This window comes from Homo sapiens, chromosome 10, assembly GCF_000001405.40.
Source record: "Homo sapiens chromosome 10, GRCh38.p14 Primary Assembly".
Taxonomy (NCBI): Eukaryota; Metazoa; Chordata; class Mammalia; order Primates; family Hominidae; genus Homo; species Homo sapiens.
The window spans coordinates 43,746,052-43,765,123 of record NC_000010.11 but is presented as its reverse complement, the minus strand read 5'-3'; the positions used below and the strand labels follow the sequence as shown (position 1 = coordinate 43,765,123).

Here is a 19,072-nt window from a genome sequence, read left to right as displayed (position 1 = left end):
CAGGAACAGAAAACCAAATACCACATTTTCTCATTTGTAAGTGGGCTCTCAGCTATGAGGTATGCAAAGGCATGCAGAGTGGTATAATGGAAGGGGAGAGGGTGGGAAGTGAGTGAGGAATGAAAAAATACCTGCTGGATATAATGTACACTATTCTGATGATGGGTATACTAAAAGCCCAGACTCCACCAGTACATAATTCACCCATGTAACCAAAAACCACTTTTACCCCTAAAGCTACTGAAGTTTTAAAAATTAAAAAAGAGAAAAATATATGCCATGTAACCATAATGGAATGAAATTAAAATCAACAACAGAAATGTCTCTTTAAAATTCTCAAATACTTAGAAATCAAATAATTCACTTTCTAAATAAGCAATGAGTCAGAAAAAAGTATTTTAATCTGAATAAAAATGAAAACATAATATATCACATAATATATTATAAACTGTCACTAAAGCAGTTTATGATTTATAGCAATAAATGCCTGTGTTAGAAAAGAAGAAAGACTCGGAATAAATTATCTCAGTTTCATCTTTAGAAATTTGAAAAATAAGAGCAAATTAAACCCAAAGTAAGCAAAATCAAGGAAATAAAGATGAGAACAAAAAAACTGATGAAGTAGAAAACAAAAAAAATGAAGAAAATGCAATGAAACCAAAAGTTAGGTTATTTTTAAAAAGAAATAAAATTTATAAATGGCCAGACAGACTTCTGGAGAAAAAAAAAAGAAGATGAAAAATTCCCAATATAAGGAATGAAGGAGGTGGCATCATTACTTGCTTTACAGTTGTTGATGAAAAAAGGGATTATTATGAGAAATTTTATGCCAATAAATTTGCAAACTTCATTGAAATTGACAATTTCCTTAAAAGATGCATATCACCACAACTAATTCAAGAAATAACTGGGGGAAAAAAAGCCATTATATCTAGAAAAAAGTTGAAGTCTTAGTTTAAAACCTTCCCACAGATTGAACTCCAGATCCAGATGGCTGGCTAATTCTATCCCTGGTAAATTCTATCAAATGTTTAAAGAGGAACTAATACCAAGTCTACAGAAATTTTTCCAGATAATTAAATAAGAGAAAATACTTCCCAGTCATTGAATGAGGCCAATATTACTCTTATTCCAAAATAAGTTAGGCATTACAATAAAAGTACAATTTAATATCCCTCCTGGGTATAGATGCAAACTTCTTTTTAAAGCATAGAAAATTGAAGCCAGCAATAAATACAAAGAACAATATATTATGACCCAGTGGGGATTATCCCAGGAATTCAAAGCTAATTTAACATTCAAAAATACATCAAAGTAATTCACTATGTTAACAAATTATTTTAAATCTCTATGATCATTTAATAGATAGAAAAAAAATTTTTGACAAAATTCAACTTCCACTTCTGATTAAAAACTCTCGGCAAACTAGGAACAGAAGGGAACTTCCACAACCTGATCAAGGGCATCCATTAAAAAAATTCTACAGCCAATATTATACTTATTTGAAGGACTAAATGCTTTTTCATTGCCCTTTCTGCCCCCCAAGATTGGGAATGAGCCAAGGAGTCTACTCTTATGGCTTCTATTCAACATTGTATAGGAGAATCTAGCCAGTGTATTAAGGCAAGAAAAGGGGGGCGCAAGAAAGGCACCCCGATTTTAAGGGAAGAATAAAAGCTCTCTTTATTCACCAAAAACATGATCGTAAATCCAGAAATTCCTAAGGATCTACAAAAAAAATACTAGAAATAATAAGAGAGTGTATCAGGGTTGCAGAATGTAACATGAATATACGAAAACCAATTATATTTATATGTACTTACAATAAAAAAAGAACTTGAAATTTAAAAACAAAACCATTAACAATAGCATGAAATTATGAAATTCTTAGTTATAAGACTTGTACACTTAAAACTACAAGGTATTGCTGAAGGAGACTGAAGAAGATGTAAATGCATGAAGGGATATATGTGTTCATGGGTCAGAAGACTCAATATTATGAAGATGTCTGTTCTAGAAACAGCACACTATCCAAATAAACTCCTAGTCAGCTTTACTGGAAAAAATGAAAAGGTAATTAAAAATTCACACGGAAATGTAAAGGACATAAACTAGCCAAAACAACTTTGAAAACAAATGACCTAATTCATAATTTGTCATAAAGTTATAATAATTGAGACAATGTGGTATTGGTATAAAGATACACAAATAGATCAGTGTAACAGAATAGAGAGACCAGAAATTGGCCTACTTATATATGGACAGCTGATTTGCAACCAACGTGCACAGACTATGCAAAGAATAAAAATAGCTATTTCTGCAAATGGGATTGAAGCAATTGGGTCATCATGTGCAAAACAATAATAACATAATAGCTTTGACCCATTCCATGCACCATGTGCAAAAGTTAACTCAAAATGGATCGTAGACCTAATTCTAAAGCCTGAAACTATAAAACTTCTAGAAGAAAACATAGGAGGAAATCTCTATGACCTTTGGTTAGACAAAGAGTGCTTACCATGATCCACAAGGGAAAAATTTTATAAATTTGACATAATCAAAATTAAGAACGTCTGCTTTTTAAAAGGCACTATTAAAAGAATGAAAACTTAGATGTCAGACTGGGAGAAAATATTTGCAAATCAGTTTTTTGAAGGAGTTTAAAACCCTTAAAACTTAAAAATTAAGAAAGCAAACAGCTCAATAAAGAACAAAAGAGCAAAATATTTGAAGACACACTTCACCAAAGGATAGATGAGGAGTAGGATGATGAAACTGGAAGGTAGAAGTTTATTGATTGCCTCTTGGTATTAGCTGGGAGTGAAAGGATGTCACTTTCTGACAAGTCAAGTAAAAGAAGCTTGAGTATATTGAAGACCACAAAGATTATCAATAAAATAAAACTGGTATCTAAAATTCAAAGCTTAGGAAGAGGGAGGAGAAATGGTGTCTATAGTAATTTCCATATTTCTCAAAGTAGGAACCCAACAGAGAATATCTAGAGAAAAAGATAACTAAGTCCTTATATAAATCATTAGTACAGAAGTAATCACTACAACACACACACATGCACACACAAATCCTCCTGGATACCAAAGTCAGTGCCCAATAAAAGCAAGTAAAACGTGACCTGGTCAAACTGAGAACATGCCATTCCTATCAATAAATAGAAATAGGCTTAGATCATGTATTAAAAGAAAAGATTTATCAAACTAACTAATGAAGCAAAATCCAATTCTATACTATATAGAAGTGAGCAAAAAAGATTAAGAAAAGGTAAAAATTAAAAGATGAGAAAATTCATACTAGTCAAATCTTGATATCACAGTAGAATTCTAGTCAAAAAGCAGTAAGCAAAACAAAAACACTTTTTAATGCTAAAGGCTATAATTTACAATGAAGATATAACTTATTAATATTTGTGTATCTGATAACACAAGTTTGCCAATCAGAAATTATGGCATACTAAAAGAGAACTCTCCACCCACATACTGAAGACTCTAGAACATAGGTCAGCTGTGCTCAGAGAAAAAAATCATAGTATTAAATATCTATATCAAAAAAAGGAAAGAAACTAATGTTAAAAAAAAACAGAATAAATCAGAATAAAGAGTAGACACTGAGTTAGAAAACTAAAAAACAGTAAAACTGATAAATGATCAAAAAGCTATTGCTTTGGAAAAAAATCCACAAAGAACAGAAAACACTAGCAAAAAAAAAAAAAAGCAGAATTATACAAATAGAATGAGACAAAGTGGGAAAACATTGAAATAGAGGACTTTTTAATATTTTAAGATAATACTTTGCTAACTTAATGTAAATAAATTTGACAACCTAAATGAAATAAATAATATTTAGGAAAATATAATGTATCAAGTTTGAATCTTTAGAGATAAAAAATCTGAAGAGCTCAATTACTATAGAAGCTATGGCGAAAATTGCAAGACTTCTCACCAAATAATACACCCGGCCCTGATGGTTTCACAAGGGAAAGAATTACAACTTCCAAATTCTTTTTTACAAAACAAACCTAACATTGATATCAATATCTAACTAAATATTGCCCTAAAAAGAAAATTATAAACCAAATTCACTTATAAATACTGACATAAAAATCTTAAAAGTGTGAGCAAACAGTATATGTACAAAACAATTGTCATGACCAGGTGGGATTCGTTCCAGAAAAGAAAGCGATTTTCGAAAGCCTAATCACATTAGTGTTTGACTCATGGTATCTATATCTTCAAGAAGAAAAGTCATGTTGTTTCACACGTGCTGTGCCAGTTATCAGGCTGTCGTCCCTGAGCTTCCAGCCTGCGCTCCTCACTTCGCTCTGCAATGCTGGGGCTGGTACCCTGCAAACCGCATCCCAGCTCCGCTGGCTGTGCCTGCTAGGCCCTGCAGTAGACGGGCAGAAGGGAGGCGGCCAGGCTGGGGGCATCACTCTTCCTGTTTGCTCCCTCTTCAGCCAGTATCATCCCATCCTCACTTCTTCACCTCAAATGTGGTGGTGTGTTCCAGGAGCAGCACTTGAGTCCAGTTTGCTGTTTGCACTTGCTCCTCCAGCCAGCCGCTGCCTCCATCAGACGTCTGGGTCTGGCTCCAGGAGCCCGTCAGGCCTCAGGACCCAGCCTGAGCTCAGGGAGTGGGGGGATTTGCAGAGGGCTGAGTTCCATGTGGCCCCTCCTCTCCCCTTTGTCCCCCACCCACAACCTCTCAGATGTCTTAGCAGTCCCTTCTTGTCATTTAGTGAACAGTTCTTTATGTTAAATTATTTTCATTTAAAAATAGGCATGGTTTCTGCCTCCACTTAACTAAATCTGACACCCATTGCTGGTATTTAAAAATATTCAGTTAAGAAAGAATTGTTGGATACTTCCCTGACATGATTTCTTAGATAAACAACTCCACCCTAAAACCAGCATCTTACTGAGAGGTGAATCCGGCTGGGCTTCTGGGTCAGGTGGGGACTTGGAGAACTTTTCTGTCTAGCTAAAGGATTGTAAACACACCAATCAGCACTGTGTCTAGCTAAAGGTTTGTAAACGCACCACTCAGCACTCTGTAAAAACAGACCAATCGGCACTCTGTAAAATGGACCAATCAGCTCTCTGTAAAATGGACCAATCAGCTCTCTGTAAAATGGACCAATCAGCAGGCTGTGCATGGGGCTAAATAAGGGAATAAAAGCAGGCCACCTGGGCCAGCACTGGCAATTCGCTAGAGTCACCTTCCAGTTTGTGAAAGCTTTGTTCTTTTGCTCTTCGCACTAAATCTTGCTACTGCTTACTTTTTGGGTCTGCACTACCTTTATGAGCTGTAAGGCTGATTGCGAAGGTCTGCAGCTTCACTCACGAAGTCAGCGAGACCAGAAACCCACCGGGAGGAACAAACAACTCCAGAGGGGCCACCTTTAAGAGCTGTAACACTCACTGCGAAGGTCTGTGGCTTAACTCCTGAAGTCAGCAAGACCACGATCCCACCAGAAGGAAGAAACTGTGGACATATCTGAACATCAGAAGGAACAAACTCTGGACACACCATTTTTAAGAACTAACACTCCCTAGGAGGGTCCAGAAGGGAGAAACTCAGCACACATCTGAACAGAAGGAACAGAGTCAGGATACACCATCTTTAAGAACTGTAACAATCACTGCGAGGGTTGGGGCCTTCATTCTTGAAGTCAGCCATACCAAGATCCCACCGGGAGGAACCAATTCTGGCCCATTACCAAATGGGAAACGGGTTCCCCATGAGGGCGCTGTGTTGGAGTGGTAGCCAGGGCAACAGACAAGAGAATACAACAAGCTCTTCGCTCCAAATTCTGACCTGAAACTCTGGAAGAGACACTGTTGCAGGGAAAAGAACTAGGGGCATGATGGGAAATACAATGTAGCCCTTTTGGGTAAGAAATCATAGAAACACACATATAAATGTATCTCCTTATATTGGCAAAAAGAAATACTCGAAAAACAAACCAAAAACTAATTTTTTAAAGTGGTTACATAAAGAGGGAAGGAGAAACAAGGTAGTGAGGATAGGAATGAAAGACTTCTTAGATACCACCTAGAGTTTTGACTTTAAAAACAAAATGTTTTACATACAATAAATAATGAAACGCATTTCTAAATTCATCTGAATTCAGTTTCCAAAACAATTCCCAAAACAATCTGAAATGAATAAGCCTGATTATCTACCTGGTTGGTAACATAACAGTACAAAGAGAAGACTGACTGGTAGTGACTTTAGAAAACTGTTGACTGTGAAGAACTGCTGGTTCCAAAACACAGTTCCCCACAGAATCCACATCAGAAAATGGCTCCCCATGCTGTGCAGCTCTCTCCACCGAGCTCCAAGTTTAATTCTCCAGTGGGTGCATCTCATTGCTGGGCCATCCAGCCCACGTGGAATCCCAGGCACAATGACAACTGGAAAATACAGTTTTCAGGTTTCTCCATTCTGCACAGAGGACTGTATATCGACCGCAGATTAAAAATGAATTGAGCACATCAATCCATATTATGTGTCACCTGGTAGGCTCAGGCCCTTCGAACGTCTTTCATTTGCCTCTTGAAGATTTGGAGTATAGAAATTTTAGAGGAAAACTCATCCTGAAAATCTGTAACAGGATTATACCATGTAACTAACGTGTCTTATGTCTTTAACCAGGGTCGATGTTTAGAGACTGTGAGGAAAAAACCATGTCTAAGATATCCAGTGTGCCCTAGATAGCACCAGGGCAAGCGTGACCACGCACACAGTCTTACCGTGGTTGTAGTTCCAATTACACAGGGAGGGCTCTCACTTGGAAAGAAGGGTATATAATTTTGTGCTTTCTAAATAATCCTAATGGGATGTAATTTTTTTTTTGAAGGTGTGGTCTCTCTTTGTTGCCCAGGCTGGAGTGCAGTGGCACTATCTCGGCTCACTGAAACCTCTGCCTCCTGGGTTTAAGTGATTTTCCTGCTTCAACCACCTGAGTAGCTTGGATTACAGGCGCCGGCCACCATGCCTGACTAATTTTTGTATTTTTAGTAGAGATGGGGTTTTGCCATGTTGACCAGGCTGGTCTTGAACTCCTGACCTGAAGTGATCCACCCGCCTTGGCCTCCCAAAGTGCTGGGATTACAGGCGTGAGCCACCCTGCCCGACCAGGATGTAAATTTATTATTACTAATAACATCTTCCAAATTCCATTCATTATAAATTCCCCCAAGGAATACCGTTTAAAACTTGTCCGGATGAAAAAGGGAAATAAAAGTTAAGCTTCTGAAAATAAAAGCTTCCAATATCCCTAGACCCAGTTATGGGTTGGCTCCAAATCACCCACAATACTTTCAGGGGTCTTAGAACCAATCTCAGCTATGATGCTCATTCAATGATCATTGTTGGCTGATGAATTTCTTTTTTTTTTTTTCTTTTCTTTTTTTCTTTTTTTCTTTTTTTTTTTTTTTTGTTTTTTTGGAGACAGAGTCTTCTTCTGTCACCCAGACTAGAGTGCAGTGGCACAATCTCGGCTTACTGTAACCTCCACCTCCCGGGTTCAAGTGACTCTCCTGCCTCGGCCTCCCAAGTAGCTGGGATTATGGGCGCTTATCACCACGCCCAGCTAATTTTTACACTTTTAGTAGACACGTGGTTTCACTATGTTGGCCAGGCAGGTCTCGAACTCCTGACCTCAAGTGATCCACCAGCCTCAGCCTCCCAAAGTGCTGGGATTACAGGCATGAGCCACTGCACCCGGCCGGCTGGTGAATTTCTTAGCTCAACTTCCTGGTCCAACAAATTCTCTCATTGCGTAATGTGTGCAGTGTTCTGCAATTCCAGTCTTGCTCTACTCGTGGCTAGGTACCTCAGACAAGGCTTTTAACCTTCCTGTGCCAAGGCCTCCTCTTGTAAAACAAAGGTAGCTAGTGTTCCTCCCATTTTTTGTGAGGATTAAATGAATTAATAAAAATCAAGTTGTTTGCAATAGCAAAGACTTGGAACCAACCCAAATGTCCATCAATGATAGACTGGTATAAGAAAATGTAGCACATATACACCATGGAATACTGTGCAACCATAAAAAAGGATGAGTTGATGTCCTTTGCAGGGACATGGATGAAGCTGGAAACCATCAGTCTCAAAAAACTATCACAAAGACAGAAAACCAAACACCGCATGTTCTCACTGATAGGTGGGAATTGAACAATGAAAACACTTGGACCCAGGGTGGGGAACATCACACACTGCCTGTCGGGGGTTGGGGGGCTGGGGGAGGGATAGCATTAGGACAAATACCTAATGTAAATGACGAGTTGATGGGTGCAGCAAACCAACATGGCACATGTATACCTATGTATCAAACCTGCACGTTGTGCCCTTGTACCCTAGAACTTAAAGTATAATTTAAAAAAAAAAAAAAAAGAAAAATCAAGTGCTTTGAAGAGTGTCTGGCACATATGAAGTGCTGCACAATTGCTATTACTCTTTTCATTATGTTTATTACTACTGTTACTCCCCAATGCCAGCAGATATCAAGATAGCAATGTTCTAGATACATTCAGAATTCAAGAATCACAAACACTGGCAGATTGCCTGCCGTCCGAGATAATATTTCTCCCTTGGAAAAGAAAAAGAAAAATGTAGTCTATGTAGCAAAGATTATCTAGCAAATATTATAACATGATGAATCCTTTATTAGTGTTTATAGGGGAAAAAGAAAGAAAATCATTTTCCAAACAGTAGAATTTCGAACTAAGAACAATTAGGTCTGAACATTCCTCATGGCTCAGAAGTGACAGACCACCCTGGTGGCATCCTCCTTCGACAGGCCACAGGCTGAGCATCCAAACCATGCAGTCAGCAGTTCAGTGGCAAGGGAGCCTCTGCCTTCAACACAAATAAAATCCATGAAAATGAGGAGTGAGGGGGAGAGCCTGCTGCCTAACACTCTACATCCTGATGCCTCTGAATACAGGAATTGCACAGATGAGAAGAGAAGAAAGAAAGACACAGCGTGTATCTCACTGTCACTGGGCAGGGACCAGGTTGGGGAGGACAGAGTGGAAAAAGTCTGATCATTTCTGCAAAATGGTGTCTATGTTTGTCCGCTGTGCTAGTTACAGTCCTTTCCCTGTGGTTATTTCTTAAAAGATGGAACTAAAAGGCCAATACTTAGAAAAAAACTTAAAAGGATTTAAAAATCACAGGCAGAAGTTCAGATGACACACCACATTCAGACTGATGGTGAGGAAACCTTTCCCGATAGAGACCTCGGTCTCTTTAGAACTTCACATCTCAGAATAATGAGGAGCAAAACTCTAAGTAAAGCAAATCATTTTTGCAATTACATAGACTTTGCCAGAACAACTGTGAGGAAACTGAATCAGTAATATTAGACTCTGAAAGCTTTTTTCCCTCCACCAACTACCACGGACAATTTTATACAGGACAAGAATTTCCAGCCAAAATAACCAAATATTTTCTTTACCACCTGGCATGCTGCTTCTTCCAGCTTGTGTGGTACATTGCTAGAAGTTTCTCTGCAGAATAAAATTACCCTCTGGGAGCTGGGTACATGGGTTGGTGGTTAGAGCTACTCTGGACCTAGTTTGGTCACTTGGCAGGGAAAGCATCAGTAAACAGACTGAGTGAGGAACCATGGGTAAGCCATGTTTTCAGGAAGCAGACAGTCTGTGAGGTAGGAGATTTAAAAGAAGAAAAAGAAACTGTATTGTGGGCGGCTTCTATTCTTCCTGGGCTAAGAAGTAGTAAAGGAGTAGTGGCCAAAAAATAAAAACTGTGCTATCAAAAAGAGAGAAGAAAAAGAGAGATACCAACAACCAGTAGAAAAGTGAGCAAAACCGCATGGACGGTTCAGAGAAGCAAAAGTGCAGATGCTTTCAAATATGGGAACAGATTTCAATCTCACTCTTAAAAGAAAGGCAGTGGTATTTTTCACTTAACAAGTTGGCAAAATTCAAAAGCTGTGATGGCAAACTGTGTGAGTGATGGTGCGGAGAGATCAACACTCTCCTAGCTATTATTGCAAGTGGGAGTGCAGGTTTACAAGCTCAGGGGAGAGCAGGCTGGCAAAGCACTCAGCACCAGAAGTGTTTGACTCAAGGACACCACTTCTACAAAGTGAGAAACTGAGTATTTTTTTAAATAAGTCTCAAAACAATCTAAATGTTCACAATAGGGGACTGAATAAATTATGGTGTGATCATACAGTAGAATATTATACAAGTTCGTAAAGAAGGAGGCCTGTACGATTTGGAAGGTTCTGCAAGGTACAGGGTCAAGTTCAAAAGGAAAGGAAGGGCCACAAAAGTACCTTGTTGTGCTACCACTTGCATATGAAAGCTCCTCTGAACAAATGCAGATGTGCTGCCGAGGTAGCGGACACCTCTGGAAGCTGGCAGCAAGGGCTGCCTGGAGGGAGAGGAAAATAGTGAAGCAAGAGATACCCAAACCCATTAAAAAGTGTGCTGTATGTCTGGTGTCTATGTAGATGCGTGCACATAAATAGAAGAAATATTGAGCGTTCCCACAGGCGTGAGCTGTGTTCTGTCTGTACTGTAAGCTTATGGGTGACTTGTATCTTCTTCCTTGTAGTATTTTTTGAGTTTGTAAATATTTCACAGCGAAATTAGATGCTTTAAAACAAGGATTGTTTTCCTTCTAAAATTCTCAATTATCTCCACCAAACAAAATACCTGGGCCAGGCACAGTGGCTCACGCCTGTAATCCCAGCACTTTGGGAGGCTGAGGTGGGCCGATCACCTGAGGTCAGGAGTTCAAGACCAACTTGGCCAACATAGTGAAACCCCATCTCTACTAAAAATCCAAAAAAAATTAGTCAGGCATGGTGATGGGCGCCTGTAATCCCAGCTACTCCGGAGGCTGAGGCAGGAGAATCGCTTGAATCCAGGAGGCAGGGGTTGCAGTGATCCAAGCTCGTGCCACTGCACTCCAGCCTGGTGGCATAGCAAGACTCCATCTCAAAAAAAAAAAAAAAACCTGCTCAGTTAATTCAGTCAAAACAAGCCTTTTGATTGTGGCACACTCGAGTTGCACAGTGGGATTGGAGCCGGAATCCCCATCTCCACCCTCGGAGGACAGTCAGGGCTCACCACCCACCCACCTGGGGAGCCTGGCGCCCAGCAGCCCCACACTCCCTGTGTTCCGCCAGGCCCCATGGAGGCTGCAGAGGCAGGGCGGGATATTTGGGGACAGAGTTCCACTTATTGTCTCTCTCAGGTAAAGCCTTCCCAAACGGTGCTGCTATCGGAATTGAAGACTTGGAGCTATTTTGGTTGCATTCTTGGCCCTGAGAGACAGGTTTCCTGTTAATACTGTTTTGACCGAGATTGTTTGGGCCTCTCCAGCGGGAGACCAGATTTAGATCAAACGCACAGGATCCTCCTGCTGCAACAAGAAGGGCCTGGGACACCCAGGGAAGTCCAAGCCCCCGCTGTTAGAGGGTGGGAAACGGGACTGGGGTGCTTTCTCTGCTGCCCCAGGAGGCCCTGGTGGAGAAAGGCCCGCCCGCCCGGAGCCACACAAAGCCCAGGAGGCTGGGCCGGCAGTGTGGAGGTCAAAGCATCCCGGGCCCCATGTGGAAGGTGAGTCCCCCCTCTGGGGCCCAGGGCCCGGCTGAGGAGGCTCACACAGTCATACTCAGAGTGCCAGCCCTCACACAGGACTGTTTAGGGCCTGCCACTGGTCAGCCACCATTTGGAGTTGCTGCCGGGAACATGGAACCAAGGAGACCTTGGGAGGCAGGGTCTGTCCTGGCCTCTCAGACTAACCTGGCAGATGCCCTCACACAGGCAGGAAGAGATGCTGATGGGAGGCTTGAACGTCCCAGTGTTCCCACGGACACTTCATTCTCAAAGGGAAAGAAGAAAAGGGAAGGCCTGCCTGCCCAATTCGGGTGTACAGAGAGGGACCGCAATGTATGCAGCACAGTAGAGACAGCTCTCTGGAGATGACTGTCGGGTGCACCATGCCCAGGCTGGGGAGACCTCTGAAGCAGGCAGGAGGGTACTATCTGGTAACCACAGTCCCTGGGGTAGTTGAGTGGCCAGGTCCTAAGCAGAACCTACTCTTTATTCCATATTTGCATTCCATGTTCCCTTTGCAAGGCTGGGGAAGTGGCTCCAGCATCTGAATTAGGGCCTTGACCTTTTCACAGGAGCCAGTAATGACTGCAGTGAAACCTTCAATAGAGCCTGCCCATAACCTGCTGAAGTGTGGCTTTTGGAAGAGCCAGGCTTATTTGTTTCCAAAGTCTTTTCCTTTGAGTCTTTGTTTGATCGTGGACCTGGGAACTGGCATCTGCCATCTCTTTCCTAATGTGACCTTAAATCATCCAAGTGACTGTGGGAAGGTGGCCTGCAGCACCCAGCCTGGGCCTCTAGAAAGAGATTGTGACTTTATTGCCAGAGGCTGGAAGTTAGTAGACGAACTTGTGAGGCACAGTTATTTTCTCTGAAACTGGAGGAACACAGCCAAAGTGTCTTCTCCCATTGTAGATGACAAACTGTGAAGACATGTCTTAAAGTCTGGCGAGAGTCACCCCTTTCATTGCAAAGTTAATGAAAGAAAACCATGTGTTCACAACAAGACAGCCTTTTCCTAAAAATCCTGAGTCGTTGTGTCACCATTCAAATGTCAGAGAAGTGTCCGTGCTCCACTTAAGCAGAAGACAAAAGTAATGTGAAAAAATAGAAAGAATTCAGGTGTCAGAAGAATGGTCTTGCAATATGTATGTAAATGAAAATGGCTTTTTACCTGAAGTAACCCTTCAGGTCAGTGGTCCTCACTCAAAGCCAGGAGCATGATGGACTCACCCGAAATCTTTGATAGTATGCTGACACCTGGGCCTCACCCAGACCAATTAAACCAGAATCTGGGGAGAAAGGGGGAGACTCAGGTATCTGTGTCTACCTCCCAGGTTATCTGAACGTCCAGTTAGGATTAAGAAGCACTGATAGATTTGAACTTTCACTTAGGTTTACTTTGTAATAAATGGCCTTCCCATCTGTGACCTCAGGCCTGAAATGAATAGGTCCGGTTCAGTGGCCCACCAGGGACTAACCCAAGGCTGTCAGAGTCCCAGTTATAAATGCACATCTTCTCTGGAACCCTGCCACACAAGTAAAGGAATCGCCTTTCTTCCACCAAACTGCAGTCCGTGCACAGAATACCCAGCCAGCCGGCCAGCAAGAAGGAGGCACCCGTGGCTGGCAGGGCAGGCCCAATGCTGGCCGCAGGCTCCACTCCATCAGCCCTGGCCTCTATTGGCCTTCAGGCTTGAGCCCTGGTGTGTGAACATAAGTGCCCTGCTAGAGGCCTGGAGGGCCTGAAGACACATGTTCTGGGTCCAGCCTGTGGCCCACTCAGGATCAGCCAAGGGATCCAGTTAAGTGGGTCAAGACTCTGGATTTGGTCCCTAGTAAGCCATTTAGTTTTTTAGAGAAAAACTGTCTTTCCGTACACTTTGATTGTTCCACCACGAGGAGACATCCTTCCCAGGACCGCTTCACCGATCCGGAGATGCTGCTCCTGCACTGCGGCATCCGAATATGCAAAACGATGATCAGGTGTTTCCAGAGTATTGTGGTAAGAATCAGAGAAAACCAAGTGATACATCCTAAAACAATATTGGAATGCAGCGGATAATTACATGATCATTTTTCAGGAAACATATCAATAATACTTTAAACTGATGGTCAATCATATTGGTGTCTCAGGTACACACAGACCAAAACTTAGCAAACTGTACCCTTTAACCATGTGCAGTTTGTTGTATGCCAATTATAACTTCATGTAACTATTCAAAGAAAAAATCTGTGTCCCAGCACTCTGAGTTTGGGACACAGTTGGTGATCCCAGCAGCCATGTTCTGTTACTGGAATCTGTGTGTTTGCTGAGTGGATAGTCCTGGAATCTGCCCCCAGCACTATCCACGCAGCAAACACACTTATGAGGGTGTTGACCACAGCCCCAGTTCCAAGGTGTGGGGGGTGGGGTGGGGGTGGGTTGTCTAAAGCCCACCAGTCCTTTGCCATAGTCATTGGTTTAGGGTTAGCCCTGTGCCCTGAGTCCACCAAGCAGGCTAGGTCTCATCACTACTGCCAGATCCCAGACAGTTTTTGTCCTCCCTCTGAGGTCATAGCATGGGGGGTAAAGCCCTGAACATTTGCCACCAGGGGAGAAGCAGCTTTAGAATTAAGCCCACAGTTGGTGGGAACGTAAAATGGGATGGTAGCTATGGAAAATGGCCCAGTAATCCCTCAAAATATTATACATAGAATTCTATGAAACCCAACAATTCCACTTCTGGGTACCCACCCAAAAGAAATGAAAGCAGGGACTCAAAGAGATTTGTACACCCATGTTCACAACAGCCTTCTTCACAATTGCCCAAAGATAGGAGCAACTAAACGTCCACTGACGGGTGAATAGATTTTTTTCCAGTGTGGTCTGTCTATACCACGGAAAATTATTCAGCCTGAAAAAAGAAGAGAATTCTGACACATCCTACAACATGGATGAACCTTGAGAACATTAGGCCAAGTGACATAAGCCAGGCACAAAAAGACAAATACCATGTTATTCCACTTATATGAGGTTCCTAGAGTAGTCAATTTAGAGAGACAGAAAGTAGAATGGTGGTTGTCAGGGCTGGGAGGAGGGGAATCGCAGTTATTTGTGTAATTGGTATAGAATTTCAGTTTTATAAGATAAGAGTTCTGGAGAAGGATGATAGTAATGATTGCACAACAATAGGAATGTCCTTAACATCATTAAACTGTACCCTTAAAATGGTTAAGATGGTCATTTTATGTGATGTGTATTTTACCACGATTTTTTTTAATTAAAAGTTTTTTAAAGAATTAAGCCCACATAACAGAGGACAGCCAAGCCTGGAGAACAGCTGAGAAACAGACCTGGAGCCCTGTGATCAGCTGGCTCTGTGGCTGACTTCTCACATTTCCACATTGCTTCAGCCAGTTTGTTTCAGGCTTTCTGCTACCTACGGCTTAAGTCATCTTCATTGCTACCTTGTACATGAAAGAAGGCATTACCGTGAGCTTCCAGAACACCAATCCAGTGGAACTTCTAGTCCAATGCCTACCTCTCAGTCAGATTAAACATTACCTGATGTCCAAACAAGAGTTGGTCCTGTGGGTGATCAAATTCTGACCCTGACTTTCAACAGTTCTTAGCCCCTAGACCCTACTGCACTTCACCTGTCCAGTCCCTGGGCCACACCACAGACTTTGTCATCAAACATAATCTCCAAAATTGCACGCTCTGTTCCTTTATCACGATCCGCTATTCTCACAACCCTCCCATCCTCATTCCCACACACCCAGCCTATGACACTCAACTCTGAAGTCCACTTTCCAGCCTAAGCTCTACGATGTTCCGCGTTGGTTCATGTGCTAAGCACCTCGGCTGTCCTCAGCAGTTCCTATCTCCCTGGTCAGTTCCCGTTCTTTTCCCTAGAGTGGCTCTCCAGATCCTACAGCCTCCTCCGTCCTCCAGCACGCTCTCCGTCCCGAGTTTCCAGGTCATCTCTCCCTCCCTCTTTCTCTCACTCTGGTTCGTATTTCCAGCCTCTTGCCCACAACCTCTACACTTAGTCACGTCTTCCCGTTTCCCATGGTTAGGAAAACACGTTTCTCCACCTGCTGTTCCCTGCCAGCTGCCACCCTGTCGCTCTCCTTCCCTTCACAGCCAAGCAGCTCACAACATTCGCCTGTGTTCCCATCCCCACCTCCCAACATTTCCAGCCAACCACTGTCAGGTGTCCAGCCCCCAGCCACTCCAGTGGAAACATTCTGTTAAAATGGCTCTCACCCAAATGGCTAAGCCCATGGACCTTTTCCAGACAGCCTCCTGCGTGAATTCTCTGTCACGTGTGGTGTGGTTCCCTTGACTGCCCTGCGCCCTTGGCTCCGGGGCACCTTCTAAGCTGTCCTCCCGCCTCTGACATTCTTCCTTTCTCTGACTCTCCCTGGGAAGTTGGGGTGCTCTATAGAGCACTGTCTGCGGCTCTCCTCACTTTCCATCCTCTGTACCCATCCTAGGGACTTCATCCCATCCCACATCTTAAATTCCAAGAAAGGTCTGGCTTTTGCCTGACTCCAGGAGTAAACCTCTAACCCCTGGCCTTAGAGTGTCCTGCCTGAGAAAACTGTCTTTTCCTGGGGCCTTGGGCCATGCCACATACTTTATGGTGACAATGTGATTTAGTCAAGCGGGAGGGGAGTTGGTCCCAGGCCATGTGGTGTGAAGTTGACCTCCACAGGGGCTGGAGACTAAGCAGCTAAGGTCGGTCGCTTGGGCACCCCATGCTTAGGTGACCAACTTGCAGTGAAACCCCTAGAAACCAGGGCTGAGACTGCCTGGCTGCCGGTCCTCCATGTGTTGTCACTCGTCATTGCGGGGAGAAGTAAGTGCTTCTGTGCAGACCCACTGAGAGAGGGCAACTGGAAGCTGACTCCCAGCCTCCCCTCCTCCTTTCACTGTAATAAACCATAACCACCCGCTTCACAGCTTTTCTGAGTTCTGTGAGTCCTTCTAGTGAATCGCTGAGGCTGAGGATGGCCTCTGGGACCCCCAAAATAGCACACCATGTCATCAAGTCCTACACTAATGACTCATAAATCCATATTTTCTTCTGCACATGTCTCCCAAGAACCCCATCTACACACATAACAACCAAGATGTCTCAGTGACACTAGAGATTTGAGTTGCCCAAGTTGGTCTTCTGCATTCTGCTCCCAACTCATTTCTCCTTGTGCTTTGCTGCAAATCAAGCCAGTCGTGTCTAAGACCTGGCAGGCATCTCACCCTCCAGCCCTCCTGTGCCTCCCTTCCCTCACCTGTGATGCTACCTGTGGGCTTCTCTGGGTCCTTCCTGCCTTCTGGGCTCACTGCTCCCCTCAATTCAGCCCCCCACCATGTCAGCTGGACCACGAGATCAATACTCTCTGGGTAGGTCTCCCTACATCCAGGCCACACCCCTCCAATTATCCCCACTACAGACAACAGGAACCTTTTTAAAAAGCAAAATCAGGATTCTAGTTCAAGAGCATGAAATTGAAATCTATAGGAAGGTATAAGAGGTATAAAAACAGTAAGAACCTATAACAATGAAGAGAAAGGCCATTAGTGAAAAGGACATTTCAACAGTTTTTAGAGTCAAAAGTGAATGAGAACAAATTAACAGATAAATCAGAGTGGAGAAAAACTCACCTTGTTGTACAACCCTCAGCAAAGCCTTGCACTTTGGAGCTTTCCACAAGAGTTGACCAGGATGTTTATTAAGAGACACTAAGCTCAGGACCTCTGCAGATGCAACAGTTACTCATTCCAGGCTTTAGGGAGTCTATACCCAGACACTGACTTCCTGCCTTCACACACTGAAGTGACATTTGCCCACTGACAATCCCTTAACACAAACTGGGGCCTCCAGCCAGCCATCCTCTCAGGAAAGAATCCCACCTGCAGAGACAGCAGTGTGAAGTCCTGGACAATAGTGTGAGATCCTACCTGCAGAGACAGCAGTGTGAAGAGCTGGACAGCAGTGTGAGATCCCACTTGCAGAGACAACAGTGTGAGATCCCACCTGCAGAGACAGCAGTGTGAAGACCTGGACAACATTGTGAGATCCCACCTACAGAGACATCAGTGTGAGATCCCACCTGCAGAGACAGCAGTGTAAAGACTTGCACCGAGCAATCAGTCCCTAACACCTAAATATGTACTATTTGGTTTGTGACCATAGGAATATGGTAATTTACAATCTTTTAGCTTAAAAAAAATGCTGTGCAACTGTTGTAAGTACTTTCCAGTTTAAAATCCTTCAGTGGCTTCCCTTGGCCTGCAAGATAAAAATCCACCTTCTTTCTTAGCATCAAGAATCTCCTGCTACAGACCATGTTCTCATCAAACCCTGTGGTATTTTACAGTTCACACATATGGGTCAGCTGGCAACATTATGCTTCTTGGCCTTGACTCAGCATTCTCTCTGCTCAGAATGCACTTCCCCACACCTGCCATTAGATGAACGCTAACACAGCTCAAAAATTTGTCCAAGTGAAGATTACTTACAACCTTCCCTCTCCTAAAATCATTTAAAGTCAGTCCCTTCTACACAAGCTTTTACCAGTGTTCCCATGATATTTTATTACACTTGCAAATTTTTTTTTTTTTTTGAGTCAGAGTCTCGCTCTGTCACACAGGCTGGAGTGCAGTGGCACGATCTTGGCTGACTGCAACCTCCACCTCCCGGGTTCAAGCAATTCTCCTGCCTCAGCCTCCCAAGTAGCTGGGATTACAGGTGCCCACCACCCTGCCCAGCTAATTTTTGTATTTTTAGTAGAGACTGGGTTTCACCATGTTGGCCAGGCTGGTCTTTTTGGCCAGGCTGGTCTTGAACTCCTGACGTCATGATCCGCCCACCTCGGCCCCCCAAAGTGCTGGGATTACAGGCAAGAGCCACCGCGCCTGGCCTACACTTGTAAATTAACCTGCCTGTCTGCACTTTGTGCTCTGGGAGAAACCTGTGCACCCCAGGCTTACGATATGGGAGAGCCTCGGTATATTTCCAAAAATGAATGAGCAAATGGCATTTAGGGATGGACTTGTCATTCCCTGTGGGACTGATATTGGCTCCATCAGGTGTCTTATGTAAGTGGGAACAATAACGCCAGCTACAATGTAGGATTTTTGTGAAGATAATAATGATGGATAAAATGTATCAAATACAGACAATGCCAAACGCTACCCGCAGCACTTTATACGTGTTTAAATTCATTCTCATAATAACACTGTATGATTGGCACAATTATCTCCATTTTATACTTGATGAAATTAAGACTCAGAAATTAAGGGACATGGCCATTCCAGCATCAGAGGGAGCGTCTGGTGCATGGCAGGCCCTCAACAGGCGCTAGCTCCCTTTCCTGCCCCCACCTCTCAAATCTAGGAGATTACAATGAGATAACTGGGAGACACAAGGGAGGCATAGCTTGTGTTGAGGAGACTATATAACAGAGAAGCT

The 19,072-nt window shown here is 43.1% G+C and overlaps 1 annotated feature.

Annotated features, from left to right (window-relative positions):
* Window positions 10,664–11,375: an enhancer, noted in NCBI's record as "H3K4me1 hESC enhancer chr10:44249197-44249908 (GRCh37/hg19 assembly coordinates)". NCBI's record gives its function as "activates a minimal SCP1, AML or CMV promoter by ChIP-STARR-seq in naive H9 embryonic stem cells {active_cell/tissue: H9 hESC(naive)}" and the evidence as "EXISTENCE:reporter gene assay evidence [ECO:0000049][PMID:30033119]".